The sequence below is a fragment of the Homo sapiens genome, chromosome 13 (assembly GCF_000001405.40).
Source record: "Homo sapiens chromosome 13, GRCh38.p14 Primary Assembly".
Lineage (NCBI taxonomy): Eukaryota > Metazoa > Chordata > Mammalia > Primates > Hominidae > Homo > Homo sapiens.
Genome location: NC_000013.11, coordinates 86,831,755 through 86,851,744, shown reverse-complemented (window position 1 = coordinate 86,851,744; position 19,990 = coordinate 86,831,755). Strand labels below are relative to the sequence as shown.

At 39.6% G+C, this 19,990-nt stretch overlaps 1 long non-coding RNA gene across 1 annotated transcript in view, besides 2 other annotated features; it reads right to left on the bottom strand.

Moving 5' to 3' along the window:
- LOC105370300 (uncharacterized) overlaps positions 1–19,990 on the bottom strand; it is a 90,882-nt gene that overhangs the window by 31,459 nt on the left and 39,433 nt on the right. The window lies entirely within an intron of this gene.
- Positions 10,296–10,795: an enhancer, noted in NCBI's record as "H3K4me1 hESC enhancer chr13:87493205-87493704 (GRCh37/hg19 assembly coordinates)". NCBI's record gives its function as "activates a minimal SCP1, AML or CMV promoter by ChIP-STARR-seq in naive H9 embryonic stem cells {active_cell/tissue: H9 hESC(naive)}" and the evidence as "EXISTENCE:reporter gene assay evidence [ECO:0000049][PMID:30033119]".
- Positions 10,796–11,297: an enhancer, noted in NCBI's record as "H3K4me1 hESC enhancer chr13:87492703-87493204 (GRCh37/hg19 assembly coordinates)". NCBI's record gives its function as "activates a minimal SCP1, AML or CMV promoter by ChIP-STARR-seq in naive H9 embryonic stem cells {active_cell/tissue: H9 hESC(naive)}" and the evidence as "EXISTENCE:reporter gene assay evidence [ECO:0000049][PMID:30033119]".

Here is a 19,990-nt window from a genome sequence, read left to right as displayed (position 1 = left end):
TTTGCTGAAGTTATGTATAAGATTAAGGAGCTTCTGGGCAGAGACTATGGGGTTTTCTAGATACAGAATCATGTCTTCTGCAATCAGGGATAGTTTAACTTCCTCTATTCCTATCTGGATGCCTTTCATTTTTTTCTCTTGCCTGATTGCCCCAGCCAGGACTTCCTATACTATATTGAATAGAAGTGGTGAGGACTTCCAATACTATATTGAATAGTGTTGTCTGGATTTTGTGCTGGTTTTCAAGGGGAATGCTTCCAGTTTTGCCCATTCAGTAGGATTTTGGCTGTAGGTTTGTCATAGATGGCTCTTATTGTTTTGAAGTACTTTCCTTCTATGCCTAGTTTATTGAGGATTTTTAACATGAAAGGATATTGTATTTTATCAGAAGTGTTTTCTGCATGTATTGAGATAATCATGTGTTTCTTCTCTTTAATTTTGTTTATGTGATGAATCACGTTTATTGATTTACATTAGTTGAATCAACCTGTTATCCCAGGGATAAAGCCTAATTAATTTACTGTGGTGAATTAGCTTTTTGATGTGCTGTTGGATTCGATTTGCTAGGATTTTTTGAGAATTTTTGCATCGTGTTCATCAAGAATACTGGCCTGAAGTTTGCTCTTTTTTGTTGTTTCTCTTTGCCAAGTTTTAGTATAAGGATGATGCTGGCCTCACAGAATGAGTTGGGGAGGAGCTCCTCCTCCTCAGATTTTTTGGAACAGTTTCAGTAGGAATGGTACCAGCTCTCCTTTTTATATCTGGTAGCATTCAGCTAGGAATCAGTCTGGTCCTAGGCTTTTTTTGATTGGTAGGCTATTTATTGCTGATTCACCTTGGAGTTCATTATTGGTCTGTTTAGGGATTCAGTTTCTTCCTGGGTTAAGTCTTGGGAGAGTGTACGTGTCCAGGAATTTATCCATTTTTTCTAATTTGTGTGCCTAGAGATGTTCATTGCAGTCTTTGATGGTTATTTGTATTTCTGTGGGGTAAGTGGTAATATCCCCTTTGTCATTTCTAATTGTGTTTGTTTGAATTGTCTCTCTTTTTTTCTTTATTAGTCCAGCTAGTAATCTGTCTTCTTATTAATTTTTTTAAATAACAAATGCCTGGATTTGCTGATGTTTTGAATGTTTACTTTTTTCTGCATGTGTGTCTCAATCGCCTTCAGTTCAGCTCTGATTTTGGTTATTTCTTATCTTCTGCTAGTTTTTGGGTTGGTTTGCTGTTGCTTCTCTAGTTCTAGTTGTGATTTTAGATGGTTAATTTGAGATCTTTCTAACATTTTGAGGTAGAGGTTTAGGTTTAATTTTCCTCTTAAGACTTCCTTATCAGTGCCAGAGATTCCGGTGTAGTGTATGTTTGTTCTCAGTAGTTTCAAAGGACTTCTTGATTTCTGCCTTAATTTCATTATTTGCCCAAAAGTCACTCAAGAACAGGGTGTTTAATTTCCAAGTAAATGCATGGTTTGAGTGATTTTCTTTGTATTGAATTATATTTTTATTGTGCTGTGGTCTAAGAGTGTGGTGGTATAATTTTGATTCTTATGAATTTGCTGAGGATTATTTTATGTTAGATTGTGTGGTCGATTTTAGAGTATGTGCCATTTGGTGATGAGAAGAATATATATTCTGTTGCTTTGGGATAAAGAGTTCTATAGATGTCTATTAGGTCCATTTGATCAAATTTCAGTTCAAGTCCTGAATATCTTTGTTAATTTTCTGTCTTGATGATCTGTCTAATACTGTCAATGAGGTGTTGAATTCTCCCACTGTTATTGTTAGGGAGTCTAAGTTTCTTCATATGTCCCTGAGAACTTGCTTCATGAATCTGGGTGCTTCTGTGTTGAATGCATATATATTTAGGATAGTTAGGGCTTCTTGTTGAATTAAACCCTTTACCATTACATAACGCCCTTCTTTGTCTTTTTTGATCTTTGTTGGTTTAAAGTCTGTTTTGTCTGAAATTAGGATTGCAACCCCAGTTTTATCTGATTTCCATTTGATTGGTAGATTTTTCTCCATCCCCTTATTTGGAGCCTCTGGATGTCATTGCATGTGAGATGGGTCTCTTGAAACAGGATACCACTGTGTCCTGCTTCTTTTTCCAGCTTGCCACTCTGTGCCTTTTAATTGGCATGTTTAGTCCATTTAAATTCAAAGTTAGTATTGATATGTGTAAATTTGATCCTGTCATCATGTTATTCACTGATTGTTATGCAGGCTTGTTTGTGTGGTTGTTTATATTGTCATTGATCTGTGTACTTGAGTGTTTTTGTATTGGCTGGTAACCATTTTTCCTTTTCGTATTTAGTGGTCTTTTCAGAAGCTCTTGTAAGGCAGGTCTGGTGGTAACAAAGTCCCTAAGCACTTGTTTGTCTGAAAAAGATCTTATTTCTCCTTCACTAATGAAGCTTGAATTGGTTGGATATGAAATTCTTGGTTAGAGGTTTTTTTTCCTTGAAAATATTGAATATGGGTCCCCAATTTCTTATGGCTTATAGAGTTCTGCTGAAGGTCTGCTGTTAGCTTTTTGGGGTTCCCTTTGTAGGTGACTTCCCATTTCTCTCTGTCTTTAATATTTTTTCTTTCATTTTGATCTTAGAAAATCTGATGATTATGTGTCTTTGGGATGATCATCTTGCGTAGTATTTTTCAAGGGTTGTCTGGATTTCCAGAATGTGAATATTGGCCTCTCTAGTGAGGTTAGGCAGGTTTTCATTAATGATGTCCTGAAATATGTTTTCCATGTTGCTTGCTTTCTCTTTTTCTCTTTCAGGGACACCAGTGATTCATGGATTGGGTCTCTTTATATAATCACAAGTTTCTTTACATAATGATGTCATTTTGTTCATTCCTTTTATTTTTTCTTATTTTTTGTTTGATTGTCTTATTTTAAAGATCCAGTCATCAAGCTCTGAGATTCTTTCCTCAGCTTGGTCAATTCTAATGTTAATACTTGTGATTACAGTATAAAAATCTTATAGTGTGTTTTTCAACTCTACCAGGTCAGTTAGGTTCTTCTTTATACTATCTATTTCATCTGTCAGCTCTTCTGTCATTTTATTGTGATTCTTAGCTTCCTTAAATTGGGGTTTGACATTCTCCTGTATCTCCATTATCTTTGTTTCTTTCCATATTCTGATTTTATATCTGGCATTTCAGCCTAGTTAAGGACATTTGGTGGAGAATAAGAATCCTTAACTAGGCTGAGATGGCTAGTTTGGTCATTAGGAGGACAGAAGACACTCTGACCATTTAAGTTGCCAGAGTTCTTATGCTGGTTCTTTCTCATCTCTGTGGGTGTTCCTTTAGCTGTGGTGTAGGTTGAGTACAGTCAGTTGAATTCTTTTTTTTTGGATGTTTCCAGAGGGCTGAAGCTCTGTGAAAAGTCTTTATGTGTAGCTGACTCCTTGTATTTGGTTTCACAGTGTGGTATGGTAGTAAAGTATTTTTGACATTTAAATTTTGGAATATGATCCAGTAAATAGCACTTAACCATAATGTAGAGTAGGTAGACTCTTGCTCAACCACATGGCTCCTCTGTGTTTCCTTACAGTTGCAGCCATGCTCCCTCTCAATGCACTGAAAGTATGTGCTCCTTTAACATTTGAGTGTTAACTGCATTTCATGGCTTGGCACTCCCAGTCTGCCCACCACAGCCCTGGGGCAATCTCAAGGTTTATGTTCTCTTCCCAACTTGCAAGTACCAGAGAAAGGGAACTTAGCAGTGCTTGTGGGCAAGGGTCTTTCACTTTTCTCCTGGGGCTCCACCCCAGAGACATGCAGAGCTGTCACCAAACAGCCCCATTGGCCCAGTATAAGGGGCTGTACTCTGGGCCCAAGCTGTGGGGGCTTAGCGAGGGCACCTTGCCTGGTGCCAAGCAGGGGGAGTGGTTGGGACCTGTGGAAGACAGACTGGCCTCCTCTCCTTAGGGTTACTGCAGCTTGCTGGAGGTCTGGATAAATAACTTAGGGTCTTTGTTCCTTCTCCAGTCTAAGAAAAGCAGAGGCAGTGATGGAGGGGCTTTTGGTTGCCCTGGGAGCTCCACCTCTGACAGACACAAAGATACTGCTACAGGGAGTGTTCAGCCAGCGGGTGAGGCAGCTGCACTGCTAGCATGAGCTGGGGGTTCCACTTGTTGTGGAGCATGGATGAAGAGCTCACAGATAGGACAGACTGATCTCTCTTACGGTGATGATGGCATACTGTAAGCTCTGGTGTAGCCCTCAAATTTTGTTTCTTCCCCAGACCAAGGGCAACAGGAGTGGAACCACTGTTGTGGTGTGTCCAGAATTTATTCCTTCTGATGCATTCTTGGTCTCGCTGACTTCAATAATGAAACCGTAGACCTTTGCAGTGAGTGTTACAGCTCTTAAAGATGGTGTGTCTGGAGTTTGTTCCTTCAGATGTTCAGATGTGTCCGAAGTTTCTTCCTTCCGGTGGGTTCGTAGTCTCGCTGACTTCAGGAGTGAAGCCGCAGACCTTTGCGGTGAGCGTTACAGCTCTTAAAGGTGGTGCAGACCCAAAGAGTGAGCAGCAGCAAGAATTATTGTGAAGAGCGAAAGAACAAAGCTTCCACAGCGTGGAAGGGGACCCCAGTGGGTTGCGGCTGCTGGCTGGGATGGCCAGTTTTTATTCCCTTATTTGGCCCCAACCATGTGCTGCTGATTGGTCCATTTTACAGAGCACTGATTGGTCCATTTTTCAGAGTGCTGATTGGTGCATTTACAATCCTTTAGCTAGACACAGAAAATTCTCCAAGTCCCCACCTGACCCAGGAAGTCCAGCTGGCTTCACCTCTCAGTGGCAGTGGCAGAGGGGCTGTTGTTTCCTCTGGGAGCCTCTCCCCAGTGAAACTCAGAGTCACTACCAGTGGGTATGCTCAGTCTGTGGGGCTTCTGTTCTGCAGTCCTGAGCTGGGGGTCCTGCCTAGTTGAATGTTTTGGGTGGGGTTTCCCAGGATAGAAGGACTGGGCTCCCCACAGTACGTTGTGTGCTCTGTGCTGAAGATGCCTGTGTAGTGACTAAGCCTTTGTTCCTTCCTCAGCTGGAGGGTGGTTAGGGTGTTACCACTGCAGCTGCAATAATGGAGAGGCTGTGGGTTGACTCTGGGATTTCCTCCTCAGAGAAATGTTGAGCTACCTCTGATTTAGGTGATCAGGTAGGGGGTGTGGTGGTTATGCTGGAGTCCCAGGTCAAGAGGCTCTGCCCAGTAAGGAGAAGTAAAGTCTGGGACCTCTGTGGAGGACATTCCCATCGCTTTTTTGTGTGTGGCGGCTGTACTGTGCTAGGGGTCCACACCAGCCCCCCCTTCCCCTTGAGACTCTCCAGAGCCTGGAGACAGCAAAGACGAAGGCTGCGGAATGGAAAAGATTACAGCCCACCCCTCCCTCTGTGAGCTCCATCTCAGGGAAGTGCAGAGTGGGTGAAGGCTTGAGAACACTGTGGGGGGCCGCTAGAATCCCAGGTCAGTGGGTCTTGGACTTTGTAAGATGTCATGCAAGTGAAGCCTGCATACCATTGCTGCCTAGCCCCCTCACTCAGCCCCTTTTTGGGGTAAGATAAGGAAGGCTAATATCCCCCTTTGCCAGAGCTCCAGCTACTTATTGCCTGGATGCCCAGGGATCCACTGCTTCTAGGATTCTGCATGTGTCTGAGAAGCAGCTCTGCTAAGATACCATGTATCTCTGCATGTCAGACTGAAGGCTCTGGTGAAATGGGTTCACAGGGGATCTCCTGACCCCAAGGTGACAAAGATCCATGGAAGAAGTGTGGGACCCCAGGGTCTCCCACTCACTCACCATTTCCCTGGGTTGAGGAGCCTCCCCTGGTTCCTTGTTGCTCTCAGGTGGACGGTCATCCTGTTTTGCTCCTATCCATTCTCTGCTATTTCCTTGACTAATCCAAATGAGTGCACCTGAATGTTTCAGCTGAGGGTATATTCACTCATCACTTTTCTTTCTTGCCATGAGAATGACTCACACTAACTGCTTCTTGTCGGCCATGTTCCCTCAGCATAACATAACATTTTACATGGTTATGTCTCCTAAATTCTTATAGTTTTTTCTAAAATTTCAATTTTTTCGAGTGCAGTATTAAACATCATGATACAGAGATTTGAGATCAATCCCCTAATAAATGTATATATACCCAATATTTCCACTTAATAACATGTTGACATTTATCCATTAATACCATTGACATCTGATGTAACAATACAGTTTAGTCAAATTCAGTACTCATATACTTATGTTTTCTACATCATGTCCTTATTAAACACAGCAATATGTGTCTAGACTATATATTAGATTAGTCATAAAGAACTTACAACGTTTTTGTGTTTGTGCTGGGAAGCTACAAAATGTGCAAACTACCAGAGAACCTAGTTCTGAATAAAAACATAACTAACAAATACTGAATGTAGAAGCAGGATTTTAAAAAGCTCTCCCCAAAAGACTGAAATTTTAAATGTCTCCAATGACCCAGACAATATTTTCCCTTTATAAACTATGGTGCCAGTGATAACATGGAGTGTTCTATGTCAGTTGCAGAAAGTATGTTGCAGTTTTATGTACATTTGTGTGTGTGTGTGTGTGTGTGTGTGTGTGTGTGTGTTTTAATATTAGAAAGAGGTGCTATTTTTCCTTAACATGGAGTTTTAAGTGGAAGCCAACCCAAGGCTAAACTGAACTAATATTTCAAGTGATTTTACGAAGACTGTCATCCAGTATCATCCTCAGGGTTGCTCTCAGTAGCTATTCCTGTGGCCAAAGGAAAAAGCATTTTTCAAAACTGTTTTCAGAACTTTAACTTGGGATTCAATGATGAAGATGACTGGTGTGTGAAAAGCTAAAGTGTTATTTTCTTCACGTTGTTTATAACTCTCCAAATTTGTTTGAAACACCTGCTCATTGGATAAAAGGGACAAAGATTGTTTCCCAGTTTAAACTCAGGCATAACTAAGGAAAATGATTTCATTTCAACAGTGTTTCATTCTCTAATTCAATGTATGAAAAATATATGTTCATACTTGATTTTATCCATCTGAAAAAAAACCTCTGAATTTTGTGTTAGAGATATTACTGCTTGAGAGAAAGTTATGCTAGTCATCATGCAAAATGTTCCAGATACTCAACTCACCCATGCACACTATTATTTTCCCCATTATTATTTAAGCATCTTGCCTTAGTTTATGTTATCACATAAATCCTCAGGAAATAAAATCCATTCTAAAACATTTAAACACCTTAAAGAGAACTTTCATTTCTTATGTTCTTATCATTTGTAGGGGCTAATATTTATCAGACTTTTCCTTTCATCACAACCAAGAAGTGATAAAAATTTTCCTAAATTACACTTTATGACAATGAACTGCACACAATTTAAATGTAATTTGTTGTGCAGAAAGTATTTTCTTAAAAAATATTAATTGATCTCAGTGTACAGACATTAATTTAAAAACACAATGAAATGTAATCAAGGTTGAGAAGACCCTGCTTACATTGTCTCTGAGACATGATAATTTCCCAGTAGTATAATGATCTCTAATAAAAATAAAAAATCAGAAGGACATAGGAACATAATAAATTTTCAGTTGGAAATCAAATTAAGTCGAGAAAATAGAAAGGTATTTTTCTTTCAGAGGGAGAAAAAAGCCTTACACAAATTGAGAGCTTCGTTGAGATTATTTTAGATTCACTTTTTTTTGTGACAGAAAAATCACCTTAATAGTCTTTTGAAATTTTTTGAAATGTTCAACACTTAAATAAAATTTTAAATCATTTATCTATTTTGTTATGTCTAATGCCAGCACGCAATATATATTATTGTCTTAGAGTAGGTATTAACTTATTTTCATAACATTGTATTGCATATTTAATTAGCCATAACAGGATAAGTCAATAATTAAAAGTGGCATCTGTGTTGAATATCTTAAAAATATCAAAAGTCACTTTATTTTGAATAAATTTGAAAGCTTATATACAATGAATTGAAAAATATAATTAAAACTGGCTATTTGGTAGTGGAATGAGTTTAAATCTCTAATAAATAATTTTATCTAAATCAGTTTTAACAGACTCCAAGACCATAAAACAAGTAGCTATGAAGAATGTATTTGGTTACCTTTATGTTTATTTTTCAAAATATATTTGGAATCATTTTGACAGTAGATAGCTTTAATGACCAAAATTTTGTATTACCTTTGTTTGTATTTGCATTGTGTAAACATAACTCACAGCATATCAAATAGGATTTAAAAGTGTGAAAATTTACTTTTTTTACATTAAATTGAAAAAATATATAAATTTCTGATTCAACCCACTTAATACTATTGTTTTGTCCACTTATCCAATAACTTGGAGTCAGAAACTAGGATTATTTGAAATGGTAACACATTCAAAGACCATATCAGACAAAAACTTCACTATTTTAACTTGAGCTTTGCTTAGACTTATTTTTATCAAACACACAAAAAAAAGACAGACATTTTCCCCTAGTATTTAAGAGTCCAAAAGAAATAATTATTTGAGGCCAATGACTAGAGAAAATTGATACAAGGAGGCCAAGTATTCAGTGAGTAGAGCAAGGTGCAACAGATGCTCAAATTATTTGTTACAGATTATGTAATTCAGCATACAAACATGCAGTGGAAAGTGGACATTTTAAAATAAAAATGAATGTTACAAAAATTGGATTTTAGCAGTAGTTTGGCCATGTGAATAAGGAAATTTTAACTGTTTGAATTTGCAAGCAGAATTATTCACAATAATCACGGTATGGAATCCACCTAAGTGCGCACTAGTAGAAGAATGGATAAAAAATGTGACATGTATATATATGAAATACTATTATAAAACTGTAAAACTACAATGGAATACTGTTTAATTATTAAAAGACAGGGAATTCTGTCATTTGCAACATGGATTGACTTGGAGGACATTGAGTAAGTGAAATAAGCCAGGCATAAAAAGGTAAATACCACGTGATCTCACTCATATGTGAAACCAAAGAAAACTGAACTCATAGAATTAGACAGTAGAATGGTGGTTATCAGGAGCTGGGGTGGAAGGTAGGGTAGCAGGGGAAGGTTTAGAAGATGTTGGTTAAAAGATAACAAAATTTTACATATGAATAGGTTTATTTAGATAAGAGGAATTACTTTAAGCAATCCATCATATTTAATATATTGCATTCTTGAAAATGCTGAGAGATGTAAAATGTTCTCATCAAAAAACTGAAAACTGTGAGATAATGTATATGTTAATTAGCTAGATTCACTTATTTCACAATGTAGATATATGTCAAAACATCATATTGTGCACTAAATACATACTTTTATCTGTTAAAATTTTTAAATCTTCAAGCGGAGTACATCTAGAAACTACTTTTATTGGAAAAGATGGACTTATCAAGGAAGATATGAGTAGAGCAAAAGTGAATTAATATTCTGGAGAATCAGGGTATCAGACCTGCAAACAACATGGATTCACACAGAAAAGAGGTAAGAATTTAACTACTGAAACAAGATTACAACATGCAGCCCAGGTCAATGAGTAAAAGTAAAAGGCTCTATTTATTTACATTGTATAACAAGGACAATTATAGATGTTAACTTTAAAATATACTGTGAGACTTATCCACCACATCCCCCACCTCCAACCACCCTCCCATCTCCAACACACAGAAACATACACATAGTAAACAAGCTGATTAGTTTCTAAATTCTGAAACAAAGCTAATACATCTCAGTGTTTGGTACCTAGTAAGCATTAAAAAATATTTTTTATTTGAAGAGTCGTTAAGAGAGTTGAATATGAGTAAAGAAAGATAAAGGGATCGTATCCAGATATAACTTGAATATTTAACTGTATATTGCAACCATTACTTTTGGTTACTGCACCTATATCTCCTGCAAAATAGCCAAGTTTCCCATGTGGAGCCAAGTAATAGATTTATCATGAAGTATTTTGAACTGATAGGTTAAAATTTAATTTTTTGTGTAATTAAATACTAATCAATTTTGTTCTGTCTCTTTCACTTAGTTTTTCAGTTAATTACCAAGATATTACTTTTATTAGCAATTGGTAACAATTAGTGTTAATGATGGCAGTGGCAGCCCCTCTGAAGCAGCTGCTGCCATGATGCCAGCTGCAGTGGGGTACAGGCCCAGGATATAAGTCCTCAGATTCAGACACCAAGGCAGGTAGTCCCCGGAGCTTCTCCCTAGGGCCTGCTGCCCTGGGAACACACCTCTGGAAGCCACTTTGGTGGGGCCAGGCCCAGTCACCCCCTGATGTGAAAGCAGTGTGGCTGGCCATGGAGGAGTGAACAGAGAGAGGCCCCAAGGCTGGGCTGGGCCCAGGGAGGTGCTGCTTTTGCACATGGATTCACTTGGAGGACATTGAGATAAGTGAAATAAGCCAGGCACCAAAAGGCAAATACCACATGATCTCACTCATATGTGAAACCTAAGAAAGCTGAATTCATAGAAAGCAGAATGGTGGTTATCAGGAGCTGGGCTGGAAGCAGCAACTCCTGGGTCAGCCCTGAGACTTGGAACTGGAGCTGTGCATCAGAGGCCTGTGTGGCAAGTGGGAGCATCCCAGGCTTCAAGAACCCAGCCAGGATGCAAGCACTACACCCAACCCATCGACAGCACCAAGTTCCTGCACCTCAACAAGAGGCTTTGTGCAGGGCTGCCCAGGGCTGCGTCCCTAGGATCTGCCCCACATGGAGGTGACCACTGAGCCTGACGCTCCCCATGGCCGGGCCCAGGGCCATGATCTGCTCCTGGAGGCGCCCCTCAAGCAGGGCCATCAGCTGGGAGAGGGGGAGACCCAGGCCACCCCTAAGCACTGGGGCCACAGAAAGAACTCACAGCAACATCACCCCACCTAGGATGACAGCCCAGGCCCAGAGAGTGAGGACACGAAGCCCCCGCCCCAAGCTGTGGTGAGGCCCAGCTGGGGCTGCATGCTCCTCAGAGCTGACAGGAGCTGGGGACAAGCAGGAACCCGTTCCTTCTGAGCTGACGGGATGGGAGTTCCCTGGGTGCAGCTGTAGCCACCCTCCCATGGTTGCGGACCCAGGCATCTCTGCATTCTTTGAGGCCCAGGAAGGCCCCCCAACTTTACCCCGCAGATTTGAAAGTGCCTGCTCCCAGTGTCTGGCTTCTCCCTGCTATCAGCACCCACTCTGATCTCAGGGCAAAGTTGGGGCAAGCCCAGGCACTGTCTGAGCCAGGCTGGATGTGCACATGCTCAGGGCAGTGTTAACACACCAGCCCCCTGCCACCTCAGGCCCCTGTGGACTTTGGGCATTGACAAGCATGGGAGGGAGGGTGAGGAGGTGCTGAGGACAGCCCAGTACTAGCATGCAGCCACTCCTTGATATGAAAAGCCTGGGCACCATGAACAGGCATGAGGCAGACAGGCTTCTGAATGGAAGGGAGTGGTCCCAGTGAAGCCCCACTTTCAAGCCAGGTTGGACCTGAAGCCTGGGGCTGGGCTGCCAGTCCTGCAGTCTGGAGAGGGATCTTGCATTACTTTTTTCTGGTGCTGCCAATGCCCCCGCTACATGGACCAGTCAGCACACGCTTCCTCTCCTCTGAGGCTCATAAAAACCCCCAGACTCAGCCAGACTCAAGGAGAGGATGGAGATGACATGATGACCAGCTGTAGAGAGGAGCTACCCTCTCTACTGAGAGCTGAAGAGTTGGTGGGATGACCTGCCCTCAGAGAGGAGCTACCCTCTCTGCTCACTGAAGAGAAGATGAAATGACCAGCTGCAGAGAGGAGCTACCCTCTCTGCTGAGAGCTGAAGAATTGATCGGATGACCTGCCCTCAGAGAGGAGCTACCCTCTCTGCTGACTAAAGAGAAGATGAAATGACCAGCTGCAGAGAGGAGCTACCCTCTCTGCTGAGAGCTGAACACTTGTTGGGACACCCTGCCTACAAAGAGGAGCTACCCACTGCTGGTCTTCTCTAAGCTGTTCTATCACTCAGTATAGCTCCTTTCATCTTGTTCACCCTCCACTTGTCTGTGTACGTCATTCTTCCAGGACACACAAAAAGAACCCAGTGTAACGGCAAGGTTCTTGCTTCGCCATGCCAAAGAATTGGTGTGGTAGCTGATCACAGCAAGTGATAGAGACACAGACCGATAGAGAGAAAAAGCTGTAGGCTTTATTGAGCAGAGTGAAAATACAAAGCTTCCACAGTGTGGAAGGGGTCCCGAACCGGTAGCCACTGCTGGTTTTGGGTGATTGCCTTTTAAACTCTTTAAGGCAGGAAATACGTGCGGCAGGAAGATGTTACTAGAGCGAGAAAAAAAGGAAGTAAATTATTTTGTGACATGTCTTAGATTTTGAGGAAAACCAGAATTGCAACTTAGGTTATATTTACTTTATGACCTTGCAGCGGCATGGCAAAGGAGACAGGATCTCACAGGACTTTACAAAGTATATTTACAAGGAATTGGAATTGGGAGTAGAGATAAGGTCTGCTGGCCACAGAAAAATGGGCAGTTAACATTCCTTTTACTTTAGTTTTGAGGGAGGGGGAATGGAGAGAGGGAGAGAGGACACAGGGAAACTTACAGCAACATTTTCGCTGTTTATATTTTTCTTGAGGAAGAAAACAAACGCACAAATCCTGGTGTTAGGAATAGTTTAAGCATATATCTTCAATATTATTCTTCCAGGACCAAAGTAAGTCCTGATGCAGGAAATGAGTGAGTTTCACAGCTTTTGGAGCCCTTACTCCATCCAGGAAGCCCAGCTGGCCCCTCCTCTCACCAGGACCCGCTCAATGGCAGGGCTAAAGGAGCTGTAACACAAACAGGGCTGAAACACGTTCCTTGCTTACCACATTGCAGGCAACAAGAAGAGAGAAAGAGAGAAGAGCTGCAGCCCTTTGGAGAGCCCAGACCTAGAAGCTTCCTGAGCCAGGGCTACGATATCCTCTTTGGGGTTCTGCAGTTTCTGGCATCTCCAAGCTTCTTGGAGCCACTGCATTTCCTGGTGTCAGCTGTGGAAGTTGCTTATGGTATGCCTGGTGTAGCCACAGCCTTGTAGGGAGCCAGCACCCGTGTCAATGCCTGGGACTGCATGTCCCATCACAGCGAGTGTGCCCGGCTGTGCTCACTGGCCATTCCCCATCCTCATTCACGCACTCCTTGCTGCTTCGTGCCTGTCTTGACCTTGGCAGGCATAGGATCCAGGCCGGTAGCAGGAGCTGAGTGCAGTCTGCCAGGCTGAGTGGGCAGAATGAGCCCTGCAGTCCAGAGCAAAACTCAGGCAAAGGTGCCAGTGGACACAGAGGTTTCTGATCAGTGAAGGGACACCCCAAGGATTCCGTAACATTAATGCAACACTTTAATGCATAGAGTGATTCACATACTAAGTAATGAGGCTCCTAACTACTAAGTGTTTAATTATGTAGAACTCCAGAATATGTAGAAACAAACAGCATAGTGCATGCAGTTAAATTCCTCTTATTATTAACTTCTTAAAACATCTCTCTAATATTTTTAAGTTACTTAATAATTAACTCATTACCAATCATTATTACTTAAGTTTACTTATTAAGGATATGAAATCAGAAATTTGATTTCCCAGGCACTATGACAATATCACTCCTAACATTGAATATTGAGAAAAATTATGGAGACAAATGTGTTAGTTTTCTTTCACTCCGTAGTAAACATCTACGTAGAGAAGTAAACAGCACCCATGTATTATCTCACAGTTTCTGTAGGTTAAAGTCTAGTCACAGTTTAACAGGTTTCTCTGATCAGAGACTCACAGGGTAACATCAAAGTATAATAATCTGGACTGTATTTTTTTAAGGCATTGAGAAAGAATCAATTTCAAGTACACTCAAATTGTCAAAGGTTTTTTTCTGGCAGTTGTAAGACAGATCCCTTGATTATTTGTTGATTGTCCGTTTGGTTTTACTCTCAAGTCTTAGCGCCCTCCCACATTCCTTGACACATGATATGGTTTGGCTGTGTCCCCATGCAAATCTCATTTTGAATTCCCATGTGTCATGGGAAGAACTTAGTGGGAGGTAATTGAATCATGGGGGCAAGTGTGTCCTGTGCTGTTCTTGTGATAGTGAATATGTCTCATGAGATCTGACAGTTTTATAAAGAGGGGTTTCCCTGCACAAGCTTTTCTTTTATCTGCCACTATGTGAGATGTGGTTTCACCTTCCACCGTGATTGTGAGGCCTCCCTAGCCATGTGGAACTGTAAGTCCATTAAACCTTTTTTTCTTGTAAATTGTCCAGTCTTGGGTATATCTTTATCAGCCATGTGAAAACAGACTAGTACAGTAAATTGGTACCAGTAGAGTGGGGCACTGTTGAAAAGATACCTGAAAATGTGGACGCAACTTTGGAACTGGATAACCAGCAGAGTTTAGAACAGTTTGGAGGGCTCAGAAGAAGACAGAAAAATGTGGGAAAGTTTGGAACTTCCTTCCTAGAGACTTGTTGAATTGCTTTGACCAAAATGCTGATAATAAGGACAATGAAATCCAGGCTGAGGTGGTCTCAGATGGAGATGAGGAACTTGTTGGGAACTGGAGCAATGGTGACTCTCGTTATGCTTTAGCAACAAGACTGGTGGCATTTTGCCCCAGCTGTAGAGATTTGTGGAACTTTGAACTTGAGAGACATGATTGAGGGTATCTGGCAGAAGAAATTTCTGAGCAGCAAAGCATTCAAGATGTGACTTGGGTGCTGTTAAAGGCATCCAATCTTAAAAGGGAAACGGAGCATAAATACTTTGTAAAATTTGCAGCCTGACAATGTGATAGAAGAGACAATTCCATTTTCTCGGGAGAAACTCAAGCTGGCTGCAGAAATTTGCATAAATAATGTGAAGCAGAATGTTAAATGCCAAGACTATGGGGAAAATGTCTCCAGGGCACATCAGAGACCTTCACAGAAACCTCTCCCGTCACAGGCCAAGAGGTTCAGGAGAAAAAAATGGTTTCACAGGCTGTGCACAGGGTCCCTCTGCTGTGTGCATTATAGGGACTTGGTGTCCTGTGTCCCAGCCACTCCAGCCATGTCTAAAAGAGGCCAAGGTACAGCTCAGGCTGTTGCTTCAGAGATTGGAAGCCTCAAGCCTTGCCAACTTCACATGGTGTTGAACCTGCAGGTGCACAGAAGTCAAGAATTGTGGTTTGGGAACCTCTGCCTGGATTTCAGAGGATGTATAGAAACACCTGGATGCCCAGGCAGAAGTTTGCTTCAGGGGTGGAGCCCTCATGGAGAACCTCTGCTAGGCCAGTGCAGAAGGGAAATGTGGGGTCAGAGCCCCCACACAGAGTCCCTACCAGAGCACTGCCTAGTGGACCTGTGAGAAGAGAGCCACCATCCTCCAGACCCCAGAATGGTAAATCCACTGAAAGCTTATACCATATGCCTGGAGAAGCCACAGACACTCAACATCACCCTTTGAAAGCAGCCAGGAGGGGGGCTATATGCTGCTCAAGACCGTGGGAACCCACCTTTTTGTCTCCAGCATGACCTGCATGTGAGACATGGAGTCAAAGGGGATCATTTTGCAGCTTTAAGATTTGTCTGCCCCGCTGGATTTTGAACTTGCATGGGGCCTGTAGCCCCTTTGTTTTGGCCAATTTCTCCCAGTTGGAACAGCTGTATTTTCCCAGTACCTTTACCCCCATTGTTTGTAGGAAGTAACTAGCTTGATTTTGATTTTACGGGCTCATAGGTGGAAGGGACTTACTTGTCACTGATGAGATTTTGGATTGTGGACTTTTGAGTTAATGCTGAAATGAGTTAAGACTTTGGGGGACTATTGGGAAGGCATGATTGACGTTGAAATATGAGGATATGAGATTTGAGAGGGGCCAAGGCAGAATGATATGGTTTAGCTGTGTCCCTATCCAAATCTCACCTTGAATTCTCACATGTTGTGGGAGGGAGCCATTGGGACGTAACTGAACATGGGGGCAATTCTTTCCGGTGTTGTTCTCATGATAGTGAATAAGTCTTAGGAGATCTGATGGTTTTAAGAGGAGTTTTTCTGCACAAGCTCTCTCTTTTTGCCTGCCACCATCCACATATGATGTGACTTGCTCCTCCTGTGACTTGCTCCTCCTTGCCTTCCACCATGCTTGTGAGGCCTCCATAGCCATGTGAACTGTAAGTCCATTAAACCTCTTTCTTTTGTAAATTGCCCACGCTCAGGTATGTCTTTATAAGCAGCATGAAAACTAATACAACACATGATCCCATATTGAAAACCAGCAATGAGGAATATTACACTCATTAACTTCCCTTCAAGCTTTGGATCTCTTTCATAAGGAAAAGCTTGGTCCCTTTCAAGTATTCCCTTAATTAGTTTAAATGCACTGAGGATAATATCTCCATTTTAACACCAACTGATTTGGGACATTTAACATATTAGCAAAATCTTTTTGCTGAAGCACCTAGATTATTGTTTGATTGGATAGCCTGGAGAAAGTGTGTGTGTGCTAGAAAATGAGGATTTTGAGGAGCCATCTTAGAATTAAGCATAACCTCAAAAGTAGATGGACTGGAATGCTAAAAAGGTTTACATTATCGCCCATGCATGCTGTTCATTAAAAAGATAGAGAAAATCTATATAATGACCTAATTGCACATAAAATGGACAATGAAAATAAATTGTATTTAATTTTGGACAAAGAGCTAAAATACTTTGTTACCTTTTACCTATATTTAACTAAGGAATTTTGGAAAAAAAACCTAATACATAGGGTGGTGAAAATTCCATGTGAGATCTAACTGAGGGCTCTCTTTCAAGAAAGCTCACACCTATGCATAAAAAATTTACAGCTATGTATAAATGGCTCTTGCCATGCCAAATTATTACTATTTCTTGAACATTCTACTCTGGGTAACATCTGTTCCCTTTGTGCATTTTATTCTTAGGCAGAATTAGATATGCCATTTTCTGTGATCCAACAGTTACTTGCATACATCTCTATTCTGGAGCTTATTACTTTATATTTTTGCTAACTTCCCATGAAATATTGAATTCCATTTTGGCAAGAAATGCCTTGCTGCCAACTGCAACCAATAGATACTTGTTATGCTACCTGCCTCAGAGTGATCATTTCATAAAATATGGTTGTATTATTAAGTTGAATAAATGTAAGTCAATTCAAATAAAAAGATGTGTTTTTCCTACATGCTATGATTTTATATTTTTCAGCTATGTTGAAATATATTGGACAAATAAAATTTTTTTTATATTCAAATGTACAATATGGTCTTTTGATATACATATACATTATGTAATAATTACCAAAAACAAGCTAATTAACATATCAATAACCTCATCTGGTTACATTTTTTATGGTAAGAATAGATAATATCAATTGTTTTAGTGAATTTCAAGTATACAATACAGTATTATTAAATAGAGTAAGCATGCTGTGCATTAGGTCTCCAGAACTTATCAATTTTTCATAACTGAACCTTTGTATCCATGAGCAACAACTTTATGTTTCTTCTGCTCTTCAAATCCTGGTAACTACCATTCTACTTTTTACTTTTCTGAGTTTGACATTTGTAGATTCCACATAGAGGTAAGATCATGTCCATGAGCGTTGGAGACCACTTTCTGTCTCTAGCTTATTTCACTTAGCATAATGTCCTCCAGGTTCAAGTTGTCACAAGTGGCAGAATTTATTCCTTAATTAAAGCTGGATAATATTTTATTGTGTATATACATATATCCACATTTTCTTTATCCATGCATCTGAGGGTAGACACTTAGGTTGTTTCCATATCTTGACTATTGTGAATAATGCTGCAATTAAAATGGAAGTGCAAATATCTCTTCAAGATAGTGATTTTATTTATATATATACCCAGAAGTGAAATTGCTGCATTATACAGTAATTCTAATTTTTTGAGTAGACTTCATACAGTTTTTCAAAATGGTTGTATCAATTTTAACTCTCACCAACAATGCACAAGAGAAGTTTTCTTTTCTCCACATCCTCATGAACATTTGTTACCTTTCGTCTTTTTGATAATAACAGACATGATGTGATATCTCATTTCGATTTCAATTTGCATTTCTCTGAAGCTTAATGATGTTAAGCATTTCTTCATATACCTATTGATTATTTGTATGACTTCTTTTGAGAAATGTGTATTAAGGTCCTTAGCCCATTTTTTAGTCAGGTTTTTTTTTTTTGCCAATTATTTCTCGTAGTTAATTATGCATTTTGCATATTAACCTCCTCTCGTTTACATGGTTCATTTGGCAATTTTTGCTTTGGTTGCCTGTGCTTTTGAGTTCCATAAAATCATTGATCAGATCAATATTTCAGATCTTTTCTCCTGTGTTTTCTTCCAGTAGTGTTACAGTTTCAAGCCTTATACTTAAGTCTAATCAGTTTTGAGTTGATTTTTTGTATATGATGTGAGATAAGGTACTAATGTTATTTTTCTACTTTTATTATAATAGATACTCAGTTTCCCCAACACCATTTGTAGAAAAGGTTAGCCTTTCTCCATTGTGCATTCTTGGTACCCTCATGGAAAATTACTTAACCATAGATGTGTGGACTTATTTTGGATGTCCTATTGTCCATTCGTTTATATGTCTGTTTTTATGCTGGTACCATACTGGTTTGATTACCACACATAGCTTTGTAGCATCTTTTGGAGCCAGGTAATTTGATGCCTAAAGGACAAAGAATTTTGTCCTTTTTGACCAAGATTGTGTTGGCTATTTGAGGTTTTTTGTAGTTTCCTAATCATTTTAGGATTTTTTTTTCTATTTTGGTAGAGAATATTATTGAGATTTTAATAGAGATTGTATCAAAGCTGTAGATTTCTTTGACTGCTATGGACAGTTTAACAACATTAATTTTTGCAGTGCCAGGACTTTTTAATTACATAGTTTATTTTGTTGACTACCTTCTCATAAATAAAAAACTAATTAGTATCACAACCCTAAAAGATTAGAGCATAATCGCTAGCTAAGCCAAAAAATAAATAAATGTGTATGTATTCCATTAACACATGGGAAAAATTCAGTTGGCTGTCAAAATATCACCTTTTACCATTCATAAAATTATTCCATTTTGCTAAAACAAACTATTTGTTTATTTGATATGTGTTAACAAAATATAACTCTTAGAGCCAAATAAATAATGTTTTCTTGGTGTAAGCATACAATTCTCCTGAGTCATTAAGTAATACTAATTCCTAAAAATAAATAATATACAGGAAAAAGATAAGGAACCAAACACTGAAGGCTAAATCAACGTGTTCAAAGTAGTAAATACAGAACCAGGGAAACATGAGCCTACTGTCATAACTTCAGACAGCACAGATGGAATTTTAAAGGCATTATATTTGATTAAATAGTTAAGTGCCATCCAATGCCATATGAGTAACTTTATGTAATCAAAAAAGATTATCAATAAACTATACCAGGTATTGTTTATACATACAAGTAAAAATTCACATAAAGTTTATAATTGTGCTTCAAATCAATATCTTCTGGACTATTTTATGAAGAGTACATAACATATGTGTGTCAGGTATTGACAGATTGTAAGAAAAAGATAATTCACCTGAATTTTTAATATTCCAAACAATCTTTGAATGCATTAAAAAATGCTAACTTGGCATCTGTTTAAAAATATTATATGCAAAATTATTATTCATGCACCCAGTCATGCCAACACTCAACAAATATACAGTGATACATTCTTTCACCCAAGAAATAGAAAACTGAAACTTTTAAAAATTAATTTTCAATCTAATACATTTTCTGTTAAAAAATTACAGAAGTCACAATATGCAGCATTCTATGTGTTATAGGCAATGTGTTACATTTACACATATTAAGTAAACTAGAAATGGAATAATTTTCCATTTTTATGTTTACGTTGAATTATTTTATTTTTCCAGGGTTGCATATTCCCACAATAATCTAACGATA